This window comes from Homo sapiens, chromosome 2 (genome assembly GCF_000001405.40).
Source record: "Homo sapiens chromosome 2, GRCh38.p14 Primary Assembly".
Taxonomy (NCBI): Eukaryota; Metazoa; Chordata; class Mammalia; order Primates; family Hominidae; genus Homo; species Homo sapiens.
Genome location: NC_000002.12, coordinates 203,702,009 through 203,725,530, shown reverse-complemented (window position 1 = coordinate 203,725,530; position 23,522 = coordinate 203,702,009). Strand labels below are relative to the sequence as shown.

The window sequence follows — 23,522 nt, the reverse complement described above, 5'->3', positions numbered from 1 at the left end:
CTCATTGTTGGCACAGGACAATATTATTTCTTTTTTTTTTTCTTTTCTAATGATTGTATAAGGCCTAGAAACATTAGCTGGTTTGTCTGAAGTCACCAAACAAATGGTGAGCAAAGCCAGAACTAAAACCCAAGTTGGCTATGACCACCTGAGAAATAGACCACTGAAGCACTGAGAAACTGGGAATCAACTTTGCAACCAAGACACCTTCCAAAATTTTTCTTTTTTTTTTTTTTTCTGGAGACGGAGTTTCGCTCTTGTTGCCCAGGCTGGAGTGCAATGGTGCGATCTCAGCTGACTGCAACCTCCGCCCTCTGGGTTCAGGTGATTCTCCTGCCTCAGCCTCCCGAGTAGCTGGGATTAACAGGTATGCACCACCATGCCCGGCTAATTTTCTATTTTTAGTAGAGACGGGGTTTCTCCATGTTGGTCAGGCTTGTCTCGAACTCCCAACCTCAGGTGATCCACCGCCTCGGCCTCCCAAAGTGCTGGGATTACAGGTGTGAGCCACTGCGCCTGGCCCTCAAGAATTTTTCTAAAACAACAAACCACTTTGTGTCTTTGATTCAAATTTCAATGCAAACAAAAGCATTTTTTTGCTCTTGTTTTGGGGTATGTTAATAATTATTTACCTACTTGCATTTCTTTTAAGTTTATTTGAAGCAACATCCCGTATACCCACACTGAAGAGCCAAATAAAATCAGATTCATTTTTAAATGAAATTTACAATTTAACTGAATTTGAATTCATATACACAGGTGTTTTGTTTTGGTTTTGGTAAGAAGGAAATGGCATAGAACTAAATTAATAGTAGCTTTTTGTCTCCTATATAATCAATAATGCTGGCTGGGGATGATGGCTCACACCTTTGTGATCCTAGCACTTTGGGAGGCCAAGGCGGGATGAATGCTTGAGCCCAGGAGTTCAAGACCAGCCTGGGCAACATAGAAAGAACCCATCTCTACAAAATTCTTTTTAAAAAATCATTGCTGGCTTTATATCAAGAACTTTAAAATGAAAAAATATCTGTGCCCAAGTCCTCCCACTTCCGGAAATTCTGATTTAATTGGTCTAGGCTGGGGGGAAGGATTGATACTAAGTTTTTTTTCTTTATTTTAGATAATAACTTTATTGAGATATAATTCAGGTACTATAAAGTTTGCTGTTTTAAAGTGTAAAATTCAGAGATTTTTTAGTATATTCACAAAGTTATGAATGAATCACCACTATCTGATTCCAGAACATTTTCATTACTCCATAAAGAAATACCATACCCATTTACCATCACCCTGCTTCCTCCCTCCCTTAAATCCCTGGAAACCACTGATCTACTTTGGCCCTATGAATTTGCCTATTCTGGACTTTTTTTATAAGTAGAATCATACGATATGTGGCTTTTTGTGTCTCGTTTCTTTCACTTAGCATAATGTTTTCAAGTTTCATCCATGTTTCAAGTTTCATCCATGTTGTTGCATGCACCAGAACTTCACTCTTCATGGCCAAATAATATTCCATTGTATGGCTATACTACATTTTGTTTTTCTATTCATCACTTTTTGGCTATTATGAATAATGCTACTATGAGCATTTGCATACAGATTTTTGTGTGGACGTATGTTTTCAACTCTCTTAGGTATTTGCCAGCAGTAAAATTGCTGGGTCATATGGTAACTCTATGTTTAACTTTTTGAGGAATCGTCAAACTGTTGCCAAAGCAACTGCACCATTGTACATTCTCACCAGCAGTGAATGAGGGCTCCAATTTATCCTCACCCTTGCCGACACTTGTTATTGTTCATCTTTTCTATTATAGCCATCCTGGTGGACGTGAAGTGATATCTCATCATGGTTTGATTTGCTATTTCTCTAATAACTAATGATGCTAAGCATCTTTTCATGTGCTTATTAGCCATTGGTCTATTCTTTTTAGAGAACTCTCTATTCAGATCATTTGCCCATTTATTAACTGGTTAGGCTATTTATCTTTTTATTATTGAATTATTGGAGTTCTGTATGCATTTTTTATACTTTTTTTTTTTTATTTTTACAGAGTCTCACTCTGTCACCCAGGCTGGAGTGCAGTGGCATGATCTTGGCTCACTGCAGCCTCTGCCACCCAGAATCAAGCAATCCTCCTGCCTCAGCCTCCCGAGTAGCTGGAATTGGAGGTGACCACCACCACCCCCAGCTAATTTTTATATTTTTAGTAGAGATGGGGTTTCTCCATGTGGGCCAGGCTGGTCTCAAACTCCTGACCTCAGATGATCTGCCTGCCTCAGCCTTGATACAAGTTTCTTATCAGATATGTGATTTGTAAATGTTTTCTCTCATTCTGTGGATTGTCTTTCATATTATCTTAAAAGTTCCCCCACTTGATTCTAATATTCAATTGGGTTGAAAGCCACTATGGCCTAGTGGAATTCACCTGACAACATATTTAGAATCACCTGGAAAAATCTAAAAGCCTTTGGTTTTCCAAGGCCAATTAAATCAGAATCTCTAGGTATAGGACCCAGGCATCCATTCATATTTTTTAAGTTTCTCTAGTAATTCTAGATGGCAGTCAAATTTGAGAACCAGTGGCCTAACAGAGGAAAACTAACTTCTTATCCTCAAATCGGCCTCCACAGGTTTTTCCAACCTCATTTCCTCAAACCGAAGCCCTCCTAATTAGACCATTTAAGCCAACATCCCAAGAACAGACTGTGAGCATTCCTACCTCCATGCCTTGTCTACTAACTCCTTGGCACAGAGCACCACTCCCTTCTCAGGTCTCAAAATGATTACTATCTGTATCGCTCACTTGACATTTGAGTTCTACCTTTTAAACAACTCTTGTTTCACATGCTTCAATTTGCTTAGCTTTGGATTCATGTGCATTTCCCTTAGGCCCCTGGTTTCCAAGTCTCTTGACAGAAAGGACCACATGTTATGCTTCTTTACATAACACAGTATGACTAATAGACTCTCATAAAATAATTGTGGAGTGAAAGATGGTGATTCGGCTGTATTGTTGTTATCAGCAGCTAGGTTTGACTACCATCTCATTAAATCCTTTTTGGAAACCTGTGTCAACAACTTTAACTTCACCTATTATTTGTTCCACAAATATTTTGCAAAAGCACTGAAAAATAAACATGCAAAGAATCAAAAAGTTCGACCTGTCTTAATACAAACATCCAATTTGTTTTTTTGTTTTTGATTTATTTTGTTTGTTTCCTTTTTTTACTTAGAAGGAGTCATTAGGTCAGTTCTAATTGGAAGAGCAACCAACTCCAGCAAGCAATGCCTGCATCTCTCCTCCTTTTCAGAGAGTGAGTGCAGGTTAGGCATTTGTATTCTGCTTGCTCACCGCCCTGGGAATTGTGTTTCTATTGCTAATTATTTGGATTCTGTTTTAATGCACATTCAAATTCTTCCTGATCTGCCTTTGTGAGCTGATTTAAAGAAAAAGATGGGAATGAGAATAGGACTTCTTTGTGGAGACAAAAAAAGGGAGTGTGGGTGGGCTGGAGAGAAACCCCAGATGGCTCCCCAGTTTGACTCCCTCTCCCAGCACACACAGTGAGGTGGAGAGAGGGAAGGGAGAGAGAGGAAGGAAGAAAAGCTGTGGCATCTAGAGTCCAGTGGTTTGCTGAATATGTCCTGTCTAACTCAGGGTGTGACATGTTCCTAAGATGCACATGGGAGAGAAGAATTGATTTCCCAAAAATGAATGCCACTCAATTCCCGTCCTACGGCAGCTCATGATCTGATGGGGAAGAAAGATATAAATAGACCCTACTTTAAACATAGTGACACAGTGATCTGCACAAAACTTCCGGGGGCAACAGGGAAACCAGCTAAGGATCTCAGGAGATGACGGCTGACCTGAGTCCTGAAGGAGTATGCATACATGGATTTGACCAACTTTTACTAAGTAAAAGTTAGCCTGGCTAAGACGTGTCTTTGTGTTGGGGACTGGGGTGAGGTGGGAGAGTGTGTGTTTGGGCTGGGGTGAGTTAGGGGACTGTGGGGAGGATAAGACAAAGAGAGAAAAAGAGTAGTCTGGGCAAGGGAGATGAGGAGGGTAAGAGTGTGGCCGACTTGGGGAATTACAGCTACCTTCTTTTTGCTGGGCCATGAGTTACAAAAGACAAGATTGTCAGAGCAAGCATAGTTCACTCCATTAGAGAGCTTGGGCTCTCTTCTGAAGGTGATGAAGATCTACTGAAGGCTTTTATGCAGAAAAGTGCTAAGATTTTGCTGGAAAAGAGCTTGAAAACTATTTGTTTTCGATAAGGCCATTTGAGGAAAAGCCATCCAATTTATTGCTCATGTTTACTTTCCTCCCTCTTCTTTGTCAACATAGATCATTTTTAAATTAGCTGGCTCTCAAACACAGATACTGTGCTTGAAATCGTTTGCTTACTATGTGTTAACATGTAGCTAACAGCCTCCTAGTTTAGAGTTCAAGCTGAGTTCAAGGTTGGCTGATAAAATCTCGTTTCTCAATATTTATATCCTCATAGCATTTGGTCCCACCTTGGTTCATGTCAATAATTCAGAGAAGCCTAAATAGGAAACTATCTCACAGGACCTCAAAATCTCTATATGCTTTGCAAGACAGTAAATGAGAGAAATTTACTTTTGGTGCTAGAAAAAGATAACCAGTGACTCTAAGTGATACTGAATATGTGTGATCATTGTGACTTTGAGTAAACACAATAATTCTGATTTCTCTTATTTTCTTTTAAAATGGGGCATGTGTAAAAATGCACACCCCTTGCTCTATGAAGTAAAAACATGGAGAAATCAAAGTAGCTGATAATCAGAATATCAGATGACATTTGGCTTTGATATGTATTTTCGGTCTCTGAGTTTCTGAAAATCCACAGTACTTCAAATAATGTAAGGACATATTACAAATGTAAGGACATATCTAGACTCAGAAGAAACCCAAATATGTAGCTCCCTCGTCCTAACTTGTGTTTGATTTCTTTTTGCTTTCCAGTTCATGCTAGGAGTGGAAGGCATTCTTCTTAGGCTACTTGGGTATCAGGAGACCCAGCCCTTTCCCTGTGAATATTTGATTTTACTTCTTGTGAGTGTTCAGGTAAGGTCTACCTAGGTCAAACCTACTAGGTTAAAAGAAACATTGTCAACCCATCCATTTTCTTTGCTTACGTTATCAAAAGATTGGTCTGACTGACATTTCTCTAACTGAATTGACAAGTTGTTTTGAAGGTGAATTTAGTGCTTTGCTTTTCAAAGCCTTTCCTAGCAGCTAAACCAGCTAAAGGTGTGGAGACAGGAAGCACTAACCTCAAACCTCTTTCCCTCACAGCTCCTGCTTAACAACAGGCAACATGAAGAGTGAGATTGGAGGTGAGAAGGTACTTATCTGCTGCTTGTGAGCAAGGTACTGAGAGCTAAAAGATTTCCCACAGATAATCTGTGAATCTTGTGAAACAGCCGACTTCAGGAAAATTGAAAGTTGCTTGAACTTCCATGAGAATGGCAGTGGGTGGTGGGGAAGCTTGGTTACAAAAAAAAACAACTCTTGCCGTTTACACCTATTATAAACGGGTCAATTACCATATTTAGTAATGAGGTCAACCCTCTGCATAGGTGGGGTGGTAACCACCTCTAAGGTGTGGCTCCCAGCATCAAAGAACCCTGACCTTAAAAGGACCCTCCCACCAGCTCAGTTAATGCTTAGATTTCCAAAGAAAATGAAGCCCAAAATGCAATATGGGAAACACATTGGCTTAATTTAGTATCTATGGCTTACATTCACAGGGCTATAAAATGCTGTCTCTTATCTCATCTGAACTCTATATTCAACTGTGAAGTAAATAGGCAGGACAGTCATCTTTATGCCCATCTTACACATGGGGAAACTGAGGTCAAAGAGGTAGATGAGTTGTCCAAGGTTACAGGAAACATAAGTGATCCTTGAAATTTAAGCTCATAACTTATGACTTCTAATCTATTGTTCATTTCCTTCTGCCATGTTGCATCAAAATTTCAACACAATTGCAGTGATTGGTTCTAGATCCTCTCAAAGTTGGACTTGATAGGGAGGATGGTACCAGATGTCTGGAGTGAGGGTTAGGGAGGAGATTACCATTAAGTAGGGGAGTGAATGGAATGGGAAGAGGACCAGAACAAAATACATTTCATTTTCCCCACTATTTTATTAGAGTCTTATCCTGCAAAAAACCACACTCAACTGGAAGGGAACTTGGAGATGATCTATGCCAATTCCTTATTTTAAAGAAGAGGCTATTGGGGGGAAAAAAAGAGAAGAAGTAAATGACTTTTCAAACAAGGTCACACAAATAATGGAAGAGCTAAGATGTAATTTATTTATTTAGACATCTAGGAGTAATGTTTTAAATCATAAATGGACAGAAAAACAACTTTGTTCATTCAGCAAGACTGAATTTATTTCATGCTCATATCTAGAAAAAAATACATTTCCAAATTTTTTGCCTCTAATGCACATATACAAAACATTTTGCTTACAATTTTGAAGATTTCCTGAAGGTCATAGATGGATCCCAGATAAGGCTTACAGACAGTATGATCACATCAAATAATCTTATAAATTATTTCTGATGCACAAGTAATAATTATACCATTGAGATCTTCCATTCTAGCTTACCCAAGTATACAAAAGGGATTGAACATAGACATGAGTCAACACATGAAATCACATTTCAGTCTGAACTTCACTAGGAAAATCCTTAACTTCAGGGCTTTTGTGAATTACATTTGTTTGTCATAGTTTTTCCTTTTCTTTATCGTAGCACCATAGAGAAATAAAACGTACTGGGAAGCTAAAGAAGCAGTTAGAGAGCTGGAATACATGATTAATTAGCAAAATGTGATTTTCCTCCAGAATCTTTAAGAACTTTATCAGGTTCCATTTATGCACATCATAGTCTGACTTTCTTTTGCAGTTGAAAAATCAGGTTGTAAGATTCTAATTATCTTGTTTCCTTTTAAAAATTCGGACTGAACAGAATTTCACATGTTAGGTAGGAACCAAAAACAATGAAAGCTTCTACTTTCAGCCATTTTGCCCTGTGATATTTGTGAGCACACTGTGAAGGTGATGCTGATTTCCCTGGCATAGAAGAGCACCTCCCTCCTGACCACAGAGCTAGTTAAGTTACTGTAACTTTCCTCTGAGTATATTTCCTGTTCAGGCCCAGGATGCCCTTCAACACGTGACCATCTGACCACTGGCTCCTTTTCAGGCTCTGTAAGGGGTAGGCTCCCCCACAAGACAACCCGGTGGTTGCTCAGGAAACTGTGAGACAAACCGTGCTCCCTGAGAAGAAAGGGGGACTCAACAGTCTATGGCTCTGATAACCTTAGCTGGTGGCCTGGCTTCCTTCTGATAAGAGAAAGAGAAGTACAAAACATTCACCAGACTGTAGCACCTTTCACCATCCTCTCTGAGCTGCAATGAAGATAAAAACAAAGCTATTCATGACCTACCATGCTTTGAATGGACCCAGCCTCTCTCTCCCAGAAATTCATGTTAAAATGAAAAAATGGTAATAATAATGATAATAATGCAAGTTATGGTTTAAAAATAATTCTGTGGTCATTTCATCTAGTTTTCTGTTGACTGTTATCTTGAAAGTCTTCCCATTTTCACAAGAAATGAAGATTTAAGGAAAATCTCTTCACACAGAAAAAGGGGGCTTTGAATAAGCTTGATAAACATGCATATACAGTGGTCCTCTGGATCCATGGGGTGTTGGTTCCAGGACCCCTGCAGATACCAAAATCCATGGAAGCTCAAGTCATGCAATTGTTGGTCCTCTGTATCCATAGATTCTGCATCCCACAAATACTGTTTTTGATCCATGGTTCATTGAATCCAAAGATGCATAACCCGTGGATACAGTGGGCCAACTATATGTTGTCTCATTCCAGATCCCAAATGAAAACAGATGGCACACACAAAATTGGGCAAGAGTAGGAAGGTTATTTATGAAAGGACTGTTGGCAAAGGTGTGGCAAGAGCAGAACCACGAGGGGTAGTGCCAGAGCCTGTGACTTGCAGCAGCAGAATTATGACCACCCTTAGGTCGAAAGAGACCAGGGGACAGCGAAGTTACCAGAACCAGAAGGCAAGAGAGTTGTGTAGTGGAGGCCACCATGACAGAAGCAATGACTTCCATCAAGAGAAGCAGACCAAGCAACCAGCTTTGGCCAAGATTGTGTATATCACAACTATCAGTTATACCAAGCACATTAACTGTTCTTGACAGAAAGTATGGTTTTAAAACAAAATCTAAAGAGGTTTTAGTTTGAACAAGGACAAATGATTATAGGTAACAATATAAATAGAAATAGAATCCTGATTAATAAATTTACTAAAGGCCTGGCACAGTGGATTACACCTGTACTCCTAGCACTTTGGGAGGATGACACAGGTGGATCGCTTGAACCCAGGAGATGGAAACCAGCCTGGGCAACATGGCGAGACCCCATTTCTACAAAAAATACAAAAATTAGCTGGGTGTGGGGGTACCTGGCTGTGGTGGCATGTGCCTGTAGTCCCAGCTCCTTGGGAGGCTGAGGTGGGAGGATCACTTGAGCCCAGGAGGTCAAGGCTGCAGTGAGTGGTGATTGTACCACTGCACTCCAGCCTGAGCAACAAAGTGAGACCCCATCTCAAATAAATAAATAATTTAGTAAAGAAGTTGCTTTTGGTCAGCACTAATCTAAGCCCCACCTTTAACCTTTATTTGTGTTCCTACACAGGCAGACACTATAATGTAGAGGACACTTGTTCTTGTCCTCTTAAAAAAATTATTGTGCTACATGTAACTGTCAGAAAGTAAGTCAAAGGTCAGATAGTTCAGTAGCAAAAAGTCCCATATGAGCACCAAGACCTAAGGCATTCATTTTTGAGAGGGAAAAGTTATCAAAAACAATCAATGAGTACTTTCTGAGAAGAAATTTTGATGTGTCACAGAATCGTCCTTTGGTATTCTGACTTCTGCTGTGACAGCGTCATTCATTCATTTATTCATCAAATAAATAAGGGACTTAATGTACTTGATTCTTAGGAGATGGGAAGATGTAAAAGACAGAGCTGTTTCATTCTAGGAGAAATCCGAAGGCAGGTACACAATCAGCTACTCTCCGAAGCCATCCGTGGTACATGAACCCTTTAAAGGGTCATTGACAGGCACGCGAAAGAAGCCTTGTTTCCAGACAGGATGATTCTGGAGGCTTTTGTAGAGACTTCACATTTAGCTGGGCCATAAGGTCTGGGGCAAATTTAGACAGGCTAAGATCATGGAAATGACCTTAGTGTGAGAGTTTATTGGGAACTGGCAGAGTATTCCATTTATGTAGGATGGAAACAGGTGAAGATGGCCAATACCAGTCATGGGGAGCCAAGAAAAGGCACATAGATTTTACCAGAAAGGCCATGGGAGATGCTGAAGATGTCTGAGTTGAGAATGTTGTGGTACATGCTGCTTTGGGAAGGTTAGCACAGCCTTGAGGAGTGCAGCAAGCAATCTTGACTGCCCTTGGCTTGGAGCAAGGGAAGAACTGAGGCAGAGACCAATCAGGAGGCTGATGCAATAGCACTGATGTGAGTTCATAAGGCCTGAGCTGTGGAGGTGGCAGCTGGTATGAAAGGGTCAAACAAGGCATTGGTGCTCAGTTTTACAGACTGATGGTGAACAGGAATGGAAACCGACCCAGAGTTCACGCACTGGGTAAGGGTATGAGTGGAGGCACCATTGACAAAATGAGGTAAGTTAAGAGGAAATTTGTTCATCCTGGAGGAAAGATCCAGAAGGAGTTAGAAGTATAGGACTAGAGTTCGAGGAAGCCAGTTGGGGATAGAAATGTACATTAGGAAGTTCATATGTATTAGGATGACAGTTAATATTAAAATTGCTAAAAACCATCACCTGTGCTGTAACCCATCCCTACCACTCAGAGACACCACACAGCAATGCAGGATGTGAGTGCTCTGGGACCAAAACTTCCTAACCCAAAGCAACATAAACTCAGATGCAGTGTGACCCAATCCCTACCGTTCACAGGTCAGGTCTGCAATTTTCCTCTGATCTCCTAATGTTAGAAAGACAATCTAAGGGGACAACATAGCAAGAGCACCTTAACTTACATGAAAGTGGAACCCATACCAAGAGCCACCAGACAACTCCCCAAAATCAAATCTCACTATTCTAAAAGGTTGCCTGTAGTCTAAATAGGAGGTAACCAGGGAATTATAGCTTTCTGTACATATATATTATTATAGTAATTCAGTTAACGGATCAAAAGAAAACCCACAGGTATAAAGAGACCTCCTCTATTAATTTATTATTTTCTAAATATATGTTTTAATCTAGTAACCAAATTTGAGAGCCATATTTTCCTCCTGAGCCACAATTATCCTGATCCCTCATTCAAAACAACTCTGTGATGAAGACAACAGTACATTTTTCCTGTCTGTTCCATTCTGCCTAAATCACATACCTCTGAAGAATCTGCTCAGGATCACCTTGTCATATACAGAACCTCCAGGTAAATGTCATGGCCCAGAAGTTTAAATAATTACTGTGTTGGACCTTAACATTGCATAGGAAAACAGGAGATAGCAAAGGCAGCATTGCCCCCTCAAAGTCCAGCAGTCATTTCTAAGCACATTAGCAGCATTTAGGATCCTGGTTAGCAATCCCTGCAAGGGATTTCAGAGATGGCTGGTTTCTAATTTCTTGTATTTGCTCTATCAGGTCATAAGAGCATCCACAAGGGGATGGGGTAGTTGAGCTGCCTTGTTAGACCCGACAAAAGTTAGCTTTTTAAAAAATTCCACTTCAGAAGCACTTTTAAGCCAGAAAGTAGACCTGAGATATCCTCCAGCCCAAACTCTTCATGTATCAGATGAAGAAACCGAGGCCTAGAAAAGTTCTGTCACAGTATGATAGACTAATACTCCTAATCACATCCCCCACCTTGAGAAATCCTTGGGATTAGCTTTTGAGTTTGAAAAAAGAGAGGGCAAAAGAATAGCGGACTGGCCTCCCCAAGCCAAGGTCAAGCAACCATATCCTTGTTCCAAAACACACAGGGAAATGCTAAGATTAACATCCCTGACTGGAAACTAGAGTCCCGCCCATAATGTTGGGCAGGGTTGGTTTGAACCCTGTGACCCTGTGATCTCAGCCGTGAGCTGAGGTCAAGCCTAGCCATAGTGTGCATTGTTGAGGACTCAAGCAAGAATTTAAAGTACACATGGGCAAAGTCTTCAGAGAGAAGGCATGTATTACCCAGTAGCCCTTGTTGATATAGGTTTAACATCATGACCTACTCTGAGAGATTTGTTTGTTTTTAACCTCAGGTTCACCAGTATAGAATCACTCATCTACCATAGCTTCATTCTAACTTATCTCTACCCCTATAAGTCTCTTCTCTTCCTCCCTATCTTCTTAGAGATTTGTCCTCCTCTCTCTAATACACTCATCTCCTATGCAACAAATCTCCCTCCCTATCTCCTTGAGAAAACTATCCCCACCCTCTTTTTTTCCTCTCCCTCCTCCTCCTTTCTTTCCTAATAATACCCTTCTCTACCCTCAAGCCCTGCAATGCTACACACACACACACACACTCTCTCTCTCTGTCTCTCTCTCTCTCTCTCTCTCTCCCTCTCTCTCTCTCTCTCAGGTCCAGCACTTGGCTCCTTCCACATGTCAAACATACTTAAGTCACTCAGCCATTTGCAAACATTTATTATTACATGCACAAAATACCATGGTAGACATTTTAGGTGATATAAGTTCCTAATTGTCTTTACCTTATCTATTTCCTCTCCTTTTCACTGTCTCTGTTTTGTCCCCCTCCACTTTTTCTTAATCCTGTGAAGTCTTATCTTCCTTCTCCATGTCTCTGCCTAAACTCAAAAGTCCCAGGTGGCGTTTCAGCCAAATCCCAAGCCATTATTCACTCCTTTCCCTCTTATGTTTAATGCTATTAACCACTATCTTTTTGAAACTCTTTCCCTCATTGGCTTAGTGGCATTCCACTAGCCTCACTGTGTCCCCCTGCCTCTCTCACCACTTTCTTTGTCTCCTTCACTAGCTAACCATCCTTTTCAGCTGACTCCCATCAGAGCCAGTTAGTTTCCAGATTCAGCTCCACTCTCTGTTTTTCTACAGTTATGCCCTCTCCTTTCGACTAGCCATCCATTCCCATAACTCCAGCTTCATTCCAAAGATAAGGATTCTGAAATATTTTCTTCTTACCCAGGCCATTACTTCAAAATGACTTGAAAATAAAGTTTGAATTTCTGTTACCAGTATTCTATCCTTTGCTTAGCTGGATTCTCCGCTGCTTCACCATAACCTCACACATTCAGAGTTGCCATCTGTTCTGAGAACATGAAACAGTATTCCTGGTTTAATTTCTTTATTAATCCACCTTTTCCTTCCTGAGACAACACAGCATTGGTAAGAACATGAACCCCAGAGCAAGACCATCTGGATTTACATACTTAGTAGCTTTGTGACCATAAGCAAGATGCTCTACCCACTCTGTGCTTCAGTTTCCCCATCTATGAAATAGTATAATCATAGCAATCATAGTAACTACCTCATAGGACTTGGAGATTAGATGACTTAATACAGGGAAAGCCAGGCAGAACACTACCTGGCACATTATAAGTGCAAAATAAATGTTAGCTAGCAATTATTATTAATAACAACGTTCATTCAAATCTTGTCTACTGTCCAGTCTAATTCCCAACTCTCCATAAAGGCTTACCTTTCTACATTAATCTTACGAGTATTTATTTTATGCTTCCTCATTTTGTTACTAATTCATTCATTTCTTTCTTCAACAAATATTTATTGAGTAACTATATGCTTACAGCATTGTGCCTAATACAGAGGTTAGAAGGATGAATAAGACATGATTCTGCCCTCAAGGAGTTCATAGTCTAGTGGAAAAGAAAATAAATGTGTCAATACACAGTAATAATTTGGAGAAACTTGAGAGGGAAGGAAGTCCCTCTCTTTGCCATTTGGGGTCTCAGAGAAGGCTTCTTCAGGTGAGAGGTGTAGAGGACATTTCAGATTATAAAAATAATGTAGGCAAACCAAAGTCCTTTAGTCATCAAATAGCATGGTGAGGTAGTGACTGCCAAGTGTTATTTATCTGTTTCCAGATGTTACATCCTCCTATTATATATAACCTACTCAACTAAATCATAGGGGCTGTAAAAGCAGAGAGAACTCAGTTAACTACCTAATTACTTGTACTACACAATACTTGTGTACTGATTTTATATTTCTTTTTTTTGTTGTTGTTGAGACGGAATCTCGCTCTGTCACCCAGGCTGGAGTGCATTGACACAATCTCTGCTCACTGCAACCTCTGCCTCCTAGGTTCAAGCAATTCTCCTACCTCAGCCTCCCCAGTAGCTGGGACTACAGGTGTGTACCACCACGCCTGGCTAATTTTTGTATTTTTAGTAGAGATGGGGTTTCACCATATTGGCCAGACTGGTCTCAAACTTCTGACCTCAGGTGATCTGCCTGCCTTGGTCTCCCAAAGTGCTGGGGTTACAGGTGTGAGGCACCATATCCGGCCTATATTTCTTTTTATATTCTCTGAAACTCTGATGGAGATTAAAATATGAGAGGTTTAATAAATATTTGTTAAGTTGAGATACACTTCCATCAGAACTCCTCTTCCAAGACCACAATAAAGGCTGAAGTATCCAGAAGCTTCTTCGAGGAGGTGGATCTTTCACGAAAAGTCTAACATGAAAGACAAGTAGATTACATGGTGGATTGTGAGCCAATGAGGTGATTCAGATATTGCAGAAAGGGGCTCACAATTAGATCAGAGGCCAAAGTGAACTATGAGTGAGTAATTCTGAATGATACCATCAGGAACCATTAACCTGGTTATATTGTCAGCCACAATACCCAAGATAATGAAGATGATGACAAAGAAAAAGATGACAGTAATGGTAATGCAGAGATAAGGGAGCAGCTCAAAGTTAAGTAAGAACTTCTCCACCACCTTGCAGGTTCTCTTCCAGCAATGAAAACAGAAGCACATATAACCTGCATGGTGACACGAGACTAAATAAACATGCCTTTGAAATTAACATTGAAATAGTGAGAAGTCTAAACTCTTTTTTCCAAGCCTCTACCAAATGACTGAGTAGTTCTTGATCCTATCCAGTGCACTTCTCTTCTAGTGTTTGGAGTCCTCAAAATGAGATTAACAAGGAAAAAGTTAGACACTTGCATGCAACCACCTTTCTGTGGGGCCTGGGTTACCTTCCCCCCAGCTTCAGGCACCAATTCTCATGCTATAATTATCAGGCTCAAAGCTCTGAGTGAATTGTCTTGGTTTTTTTGGTTTTGGGTTTTTGGTGCTAACACCCTGTCATTGGCCAAAAACGGCCAAATAAATCACCGTAAAAGAGACACAGATATCTTAACACAGCTTAACCAGAGAGCCATTCAGTCAGTCACAAAACCACCCAGATGTAATTTTTCCAGATGCTCAGCTCAACTATGTACTGAGAAGAAAAGTTCCAGCCTCTGTGAAGTTCCATAAATAATAAATTTCTTGAAGAAAAAGGCAAACAAAAATTTAACCAACATGAGAAAGAGAAGAAGATTCTATCCCTTGCCATGACCTGCTGGGAAACAATTGTGCTTTGAAGGAGTGTCCGTCCTCTGATTTTTAGACAACCAAGTCTGACATGAATTGCGTATCCTCATCAATGCCTACACTAGTTAATAAAGGGCTTTTGTGTTAGAGATGATAAACCACAACAAATTTTCTTCTGGGATGTTGGTGGCATAAAAATTTTCCTTTTGTAAATGTCAGCACACTGCTTGCAGGAAATACTTGGAGGAAGATATCCACACAAGATAAAAGCCAAATGGTAATCATATGGCATTTCTCCACCCTTGAAAAAAGGCATAAGACGTTAAAAAGGAGGAGGGTCTATGTCTTAAAGAAGGGGAGGCAGCGAGATCCTCTCCCCACCCATAGTAAAAGTTTGAATGTGAGAGCTTTGGAGTTACAATCACAGATTCATTTCTATTTCTAATCTATCTGTGGCAATGACTCATTCCATTTCCTGGTATTGATATATTGATATTAATTTTGCAGTCCTTGCTGTAAACGTCCTTGCTGGATGGTTGCCTTAAAAAACACAATGTGTTAACTAGGGCACGGTAGTAGAGTAAAACAAATCCTTAAGCAATGCCTATACTTTTGAAATATCCATCAAATTTACTTGAAATGACAAAAACATCCAGTCAATTTCTTTTAACAGAAAAACTGGCCACAGCATATTGGAAGTCATGTAAATACGGCAATCTGTTGATTTTTTGACATTCATCTTTTCACCTTACTTTCCCAAGCCCAGTCTCAGAGCAACACTTAACTGTGAGAAACAAATTACTTCTTTCCGTATACAACCAGCTCAGGGGAGTCATTGGCTGAAGACTAGAGTACAAATAAAATTTTTAATTGCTTTGCTGATGACTTTTTATTAAATGTCAGTTATTTTCCTGCTTTCCATGCCTCTCTCAGAAAAATAAGCGCTAAGGGAAGGCGCTGGAGAAATTAGCTTTGTCCAAACTGGCCATTTTGACAGTTTTTTGCCCAAGTTTTGGAGAAGTGAAAAGGAATGATCTCATGGAAAAATAAGTGGTAATATGCTGATTTTTCTCTTCACACTGGATGATTAGGCTTGCTAAAAAATAGCAAATATGGCCTGAAACATGTGACCAATGTCAAGTATTTTGTGCATACCATCCTTCTATCATCAATCCCAGAGCATTTCCCTCTTAAGGCTCTGTAGTTCTGGGCTGGACTCCTATCCCAAAGTCCAGCAAAATACTCTCTGTGGATCTCAGTTGCACAATTATCCGAGTCTAGTAGAAAACATGCAAAGGGCTTATCTAAGTTAAGGTTTCCTCACTCTTCCTAAATCACACTTCTTTAACTTAGCCATAAATATCTCTCTACACTGTCATCCAACTCATAAGGAATCAGGTTAGACTTAACCTTTATAGAATAAATATTTTAAGCTATGCTGTAAACAAATAAGTTACATTATTAAATTAATGGAAAAAAGAACTATTCTTCATATACATACATACACACACATTATTAAATTAATGGAAAAAAGAACTATTCTTCATATACATACATACACACACATGCACGCACACAGATACACATCTCAACACAGGCATAACAGTGGTTTCTCAGACCTAGGAAGGACAGTTACACTTTGACCAGAGAATTTCCCTATCTATAATTTCTTAATGGAAGGTGTGTACAGAGAAAGGCAAAGCACACAAGAAGCTTTGCACTATTTGATTAGAATGCAGCATAATTTTTTTTTTTTTTTGAGACTGTTTCCCAGGCTGGAGTGCAGGGGTGCAATCTAAGTTCACAGCAACCTCCGCGTCCCGGGTTTAAGCAATTCTCCTGCCTAAGCCTCACAAGTAGCTGGGATTACAGGCGCATGCCACCACACCCTGCTAATTTTTTTGTATTTTTAGTAGAGATGGGATTTCACCATGTTAGCCCGACGGGTCTCCAACTCCTGACCTCAAGTGATCCACCCGCCTCAGCGTCCCACGATTACAGGCGTGAGCCACCACACCAGGCCAAATCATACATTTTTTATGTGGTCATTCTTTTCTTGCTCGTAAGTTTTCTTACTGGAAAAGACTGTAAAAGTGTCCCCTTCACTCCCATCTCTTTCCTTCTTCATTAGATAGCCACTCAGTATCAAATGCTAAAAGTTACTAGAAAAGTGAATTGGCATTTGAAAAGTAAATATATGTCAAAGTAGAAAACAAAGGCCCTATGTGTGTGAACTCTCCAACCACTTATCTAGCTAGTCCCCTTTTAATAAATGTTCTAAAGAAAACATACAAAGTTTTGAGTCTTACCAAAAACTCTTCAAAAGAGAGTGAATAAGTTGATGACAGATAGGTGTCCACAAAGCACATCAGAAAAGTATTTAGTGTACAATTACCAATTTTAAATAGTTTTCAGTCAGGGTAGGCTTCCCTTGACTGTCTAACAAATTAAGTAATTTTAAATATTCTTTAAGTTTGAGAGATCTCTTAAAAATAAGGTTTGACCTTTTTAAAATAAATGTTAAAGATTCTTGTAGAATATATTTGGTAGCTGTAAACGCTTGGTACCAGATCTCATTGCCAACTCATGTCTTTCATTATATCAACACGTTTTATAAATATACACAATTTGTGCTCACTGGTACGTCAGACCATAAAATAAACGGGTATATATGCAACTACTGTACCTCTGCAGATTGGGAAATTATACTCTTTGGGCTATGTACACTTAATGTTTAAGAATAACAACAAATAATGCAGTCTCTGTACTGCCAAAATAAGAAAGAAAATTGAGGATACTGGCTTTTCAATGTATCTTTCAGGGAAAAATAACTGTCCTTATTTAAGCATGACTGTTGACCCCTATCAGTCCAGTTTTTGAACCAAGCGGGGGCCTTTTTCTAACTCTGAGAACACGTTGAATGAGCATCTTACTCCAGCCCACCCAAGTAACAAATTCTTTCTGTTAGGAATTGTGCTTGTGATTTTCCGAAGTTAATTTAACCCTGGATTTACCTGAGTCCATGAAATTACAAATCACACCATGTTAGATGGAATAGCATAATAATCAACAACACCGGCACTGGAGTCAGACTAAGGTGGTTCAGACCCTGCCTCCTATAGCTGCCACCTGTACATCCTTGGGCAAATCCCTTAATGTGCCTACCCCTCAGTCTCTTCATCTGAAATGAAGTTAACTGTAATACCTACCTTCTAGTTACGAGAACTGTGTGCTGCTCAAAGTGCTAGATGTATTATCCTCCTCATCATCGTCATTGGGAACTTAAAGAATTTTAATCTAAGAAAATACATTTTGGCCGATTGTAAAAGAAAACTAATTTATTAATATTGGTGTTGTAGCAGCTTCTGTGGTGACTCCAGAATTCATGTTGGAACTCATTCAATTCAGGTAGATAGAGTAATTACAGTTCACATTTATCTTGAAGCCTGACTGAGCTAAGCCCTTCGCATGGATTATTTCATTTTACCTCACAATGACCTTGAGGTGAGGTTTATTATTATTCCCACTTTACAGTTAAGGAAACTGAGGTTTGGAGAGTTTAAATAATAGCTAAGCCTAAGCTTACCTAGTGAGAATTGGACCTGTGTTAGGAACATAGGCAACCTAAATTCAGAGCTTCCAGAGCCAATCTACTTACAGCAGCTTTCTTAAATTAAAAAAAAAAAGAAAGAAAGAAAGAAACGATACATAAATTAAAAATTATTGGCCGGGCATGGTAGCTCATGCCTGTAACCCTAGCACTTTGGGAGGCAGAGGCAGGTGGATTGCTTGAGCTCAGAAGTTTGAGACCAGCCTGGGCAACATAGTGAAACCCCATCTCAATTTAAAATAATAATAATAATAATAAATTCTTGGGACACTATCAACTAATAGCTAGAGAAACTAATAGCTTAGAAAATTTATTTCCAAGGGACTTTTGTTAAGATACTATATTGTAGTCTGAGAATCAATGATTTTCAAAATAACACATTGCCCTATTACAGCAAAACTACACTTCAAATGTTCAAATTTCACACATTGTTAGAAATTTAAAATAAACTAAGCCAATTGGAAGACCTCAAAAAATATTTACAGAAAGAAAGACATTAACATTGTTTACCTGTTACTTGAATTGAAGGGAATAAGTTGAGAGCCAAGAGCAGCCTGAGCATCTTTGTCCTGACGATGGGCTAGGGTTCCAGCCCCTCCTCCCCGAGGAACCCGAAGTGTGAGGGGAACTGAAAGACGCACCTGCCAAGGCCTGAGAGTCTCCGTCATCCACGGCCACCACCACCGCCACCATCCCCTTAGGGCACATGATCAAGGCACTCAAACCACAAGGCATCCTGACTGCAGCATTTCACACAGGATATAACGTTGTTTTGATGACTTTAGACTTTTACTTCTATTTTTAAAGACTTTTTTTTTGTCACTGAAAAATAGTCGGTCACTACATGATGGGCTTATGGGAATTATTCTTTATTGATGGATATCAAGAGTTGTGTAAAAGGGGTGCTTGAAATCCAGCAGAGATTAAAGGGGAGACAAAGTGTTCTTAAGAAGGAACAGGCCGGGTGCAGTGGCTCACGCCTGTAATGCCAGCAATTTGGGAGGCCAAAGTGGGTGGATCATTTGAGGCCAGGAGGTCAAGACGAGCCTGGCCAACATGGTGAAACCCCGTCTCCATTGAAAATACAAAAAATTAGCCAGGCATCATGGTGGGTACCTGTAATCCCAGCTACTAGGGAGGCTAAGGCAGGAGAATCGCTTGAACCCAGGAGGTGGAGGCTGCTATGAGCCGAGATCATGCCACTGCACTCCAGCCAGGGCAACAGAATGAGAAAAGAAAGACAGAAAGAAAGAGAGAAAGAAAAGAAAAGAAAAGAAAAGAAAAGAAGGAAAGAAGGAAGGAAGGGGAGAGAGAAAAAAGAAAGGAAGAAAGAAAGAGAGAGAAAGAGAAAGAAAGAAAGAAAGAAAAGAAAGAAAGAAAGAGAAAGAAAGAAAGAAAGAAAGAAAGAAAGAAAGAAAGAAAGAAAGAAAGAAAGAAAGATGGAAAGAAAGAAAGAGGGAGGGAGGGAAGGAAGGAAGGGGGAGAGAGAGAAAGAAAGAATAAAGTCTCTAGCAGAGGAGAGATTTTCATAGGATGGGGACAGGTTGTGTCAAAAAGATAATGGTAAGAATTCTACTGAGGAATTGGGAAACATCTGCATAAACGTTTAAAGGAGTTACAAATATTAGAAATGTAACATTTGTGTAGGACATAAGGTAGCCCTCTGGAGCATTTAGCACACAGTGCTTGATTTATGTCAAGCCTCCTCCAACTCACTTCTAGGAACTTTGCAAAACCCATTCTACGTGCAAGCAGCCAGCCAGCTGAGTATCTGGGGGAGGTTCCCTAAGCAAAGGGAAAGTCAAAACAACATTCTATGTTCTTAGTGGGACAGTAAGGCAACCAAAAGCCCCTTGGTGTCTCATGCTCTCTATGTCCCTCAAGGTTAAGTAATAGGGCACAAAAGGAGGCTCCGTGGCAGGATTTCTGAGATTCATAACCACCACCCGACTGCACCCTTCTTCAACTCCCAGGCCCTTTGCAGAGAGGGTTATTCCACCAGCACGGCCAACTGCTCTCTTCTTCCGGCACCTACGTCAGTATCTTGTACTCAATGACTTCTTCAAAACTTTTCCAGTAATTTTTTTCTTCTTTTTGATAATCTAAGCTTTGTGCAATTACTCTAGTTGGGGGTTTTGTGTATGTGGGTTGTTTTAAAAGATAACTTGTATTGCTTTTTATTCTGACTATAAAAGTAAGGCATATTTCATTGAGAATGTTTAGAAAAATTATAAGCATTAAAACAAGATTCATCCACATTCTTACCACCCTAATATAAACACTGCTAATATTCTGGTCCACTGCCTTCCACCTGTTGGTCTGTTAAGATTTTTACATGTTTAATATCATGTTTTACTTATAGTTTTCATCAGATATGTACTATTATTTGTTATATCTTGAACATTTTCCCATGTCATTTAAGTATCTTTATAAACATTATTTGTAATTGATGCATAATATTCCATTCTCTAATTATATCATAAATTGTTTAACAAACCCCTAGTGTTGTTACCTTTTTTTCTTCGCTATTTTAAAATGCTACAGTCAAACTCTTTGATGACCTAGCTGTAAGAGGAGGCAGGCTTCATGTCCCTCCCTCCTGATCTGATAAATGACAGATCAAAAGTATTTCCTGTCCTGGTAGACCTTCTTTGTTCACACTTCAATTTTCCCACAAACACAGTCTTTGTGAACCCCTCTTACTAACACATCTTTTGGTCCTTTGGAGAAATTTGTCCTTGGAAATGATTCACTCACACTTCTGAACTATAGGTAAGTGACAAAGCTATGCCCTGAGTCCTGGAGAAGATTCACTTCTAGAATTTGACACAGTCTTCCTGGCTCTGATCCTCTATCCAGTTAGGGGAACCCATGCCTTCCCCAGGGCCTGAAGTCTATCTGGGGGAAAATTTACAGATGGCAAGGTGACCTTTCCTAAAAGGTCATCCATATTCTAGAGCCACCAGCCTACCCAGATCTTAAAACAAGAGGCTCTGAGACTCATTATACATACTGAGAATATACACAGAAGAAACAAAGATACCCAGTAGTTTTCCATGATCAACAACAAAAGGCTAAGGAGTGAGTTAATAACTGTCTTCAAGCATATTAAAGATGACTACATAGCATCTAGTTAATACTATGTAAATAGTAGTAATCGGGTCAAACTTAGCTGAAAAAGAAACAGTTCACTCATCTGGCCTAATTCCCTTATCTTGCAGAGAAGGAAGCTGCAGCCCAGAGAGGTCAGCTCATTTATACGAATTCACAAAACAATAATTAAATATTATTGGCCTTATTATTTGATGAGCCATATTTAATTTTCTTTCCATAGAATAAAAAGAAACACAAACTTTGACATTTGCCTTCCTATGTTTTAACATGTATGACACTAAAGAAGCAAACCATTTCATTAGAATCCTTTCACATTTGCTTTTGAAATCCAATAGCATTCACATATACCAAGAGGTAGAAATGACAGAAATAAAATAAGGACCTTAAATCCGGCAATACACAGGATACTGAGACCCTACAACATTTTCAGTAAAAATAATAGCATTTCCATACTAAGAACTTTACATTCCAGATCTCATTTAATACACAACCTGTGAGGAAGATTATTATTATCTCCATTTTACAGATGAGAAAACTGGTCTGAAGTGGGGTTAAGAATTGTCAGAACAAAAGAATGTCATTTTTCACAGAATTTGAAAAAGCAATCCTAAAAATCGTGTGGAATCCAAAAAGAGCTGAATAGTCAAAGCAATCCTAAGCAAAAAGAACAAAGCTTTGAAGTATCACATTACCTAACTTCAAATTACATGGTAAAACTATAGTAACCAAAACAGCATGGTACTAGTATAAAAATAGATACATAGAACAATGGAACAGAATAGAGAACCCAGAGATAAAGCCACATATCTACAACCAACTGATCTTCAACAAAGTTAACAAAAATATATGCTGGGGAGAGGACTCCCTATTCAATAAATGGTGCTGGGAAAATTGGCTAGCTATATGCAGAAGAATGAAACGGGGCCCATACCTCTCACCATATACAAAAATTAACATAATATGCATTAAAGCCCTAAATGTAAGACCTGAAACTATAAAAATCCCAGAAGAAAACCAAGAAAAAACTCTTTTTTACATCTGCCGAGGCAAAGAATTTATGAACAAGTCCTCAGAAGCAAAGGCAACAAAATAGACACATGGGACTTAAATAAACTAAAAAGCTTCTGCACAGCAAAAGAAACAATCAACAGAGTAAGTAGATAACTATAGAATGGGAAAAATATTTGCAAACTAAACATCTGACAAAAGGCTAATAACCAGAATCTACATGGAACTGAAACAACTCAACAAGAAAAAAACAATCCCATTAAAAAGTAGGCAGAGGACATGAACAGACATTTTTCTTTCTTTTTGTTTTTTTAAATTTACTTCAAGTTCTGGGATACATGTGCAGAACGTGCAGGTTTGTTACAAAGGTATACGTGTGCCATGGTGGTTTGCTGCACCTATTAACCCATCATCTAGGTTTTAAGCCCCATATGTATTAGGTATTTGTCCTAATGCTCTCCCTCCCCTTGATCCCCACCCCCTGACAGGTCACAGTGTGTGATGTTACCCTCCCTGTGTCCATGTGTTCTCATTGTTCAACTCCCACTTATGAGTGAGAACATGTGGTGTTTGGTTTTCTGCTCCTGTGTTAGTTTGCTGAGAATGATGGCTTCCAGCTTCATCCATGTCCCTGCAAAGGACATGAACTCATACTTTTTTATGGCTGCATAGTGTTCCATAGTATATACGTGCCATATTTTCTTTATCTAGTCTATCATTGATGGGCATTTGGGTTGGTTCTAAGTTTTTGCTGTTGTAAATAGTGCTGCAATAAGCATACGTGTGCATGTCTTTACAGTAGAATGATTTATAATCCTTTGGGTATATACCCAGTAATGGGATTGCTGGGTCAAATGGTATTTCTGGTTCTAGATCCTTGAGGAATCGACACACTGTCTTCCACAATGGTTGAACTAATTTACACTCCCACCAACAGCGTAAAAGAGTTCCTATTTCTCCACAGCCTCGCCAGCATCCGTTGTTTCCTGACTTTTTAATAATTGCCATTCTAACCAGCGTGAGACGGTATCTCATTGTGGTTTTGATTTGCATTTCTCTAATGATCAGTGATGATGAGCTTTTTTTCATGTTTGTTGGCTGCAGAAATGTCTTCTTTTGAGAAGTGTC

At 39.5% G+C, this 23,522-nt stretch overlaps 1 protein-coding gene across 4 annotated transcripts in view, besides 1 other annotated feature; it reads right to left on the bottom strand.

Annotated features, from left to right (window-relative positions):
- The window catches only part of CD28 (CD28 molecule), a 32,431-nt gene extending 13,382 nt beyond the window's left edge, over positions 1–19,049 (bottom strand). For 3 of the 4 annotated variants that reach the window (NM_006139.4, NM_001243077.2, NM_001243078.2), the window contains exon 1: positions 18,783–18,892. In NM_006139.4, the coding sequence (NP_006130.1) occupies positions 18,783–18,834 (52 nt within the window). In that variant the 5' untranslated portion in view covers positions 18,835–18,892. Of the gene's footprint in view, positions 1–18,782; positions 18,893–18,913 lie in introns of those variants that run through there. The other variant, NM_001410981.1, reaches the window with a different exon arrangement.
- Positions 18,863–19,012: an enhancer, noted in NCBI's record as "active region_17013". NCBI's record gives its function as "activates an Ori minimal core promoter by ATAC-STARR-seq in GM12878 lymphoblastoid cells {active_cell/tissue: GM12878}" and the evidence as "EXISTENCE:reporter gene assay evidence [ECO:0000049][PMID:35858748]".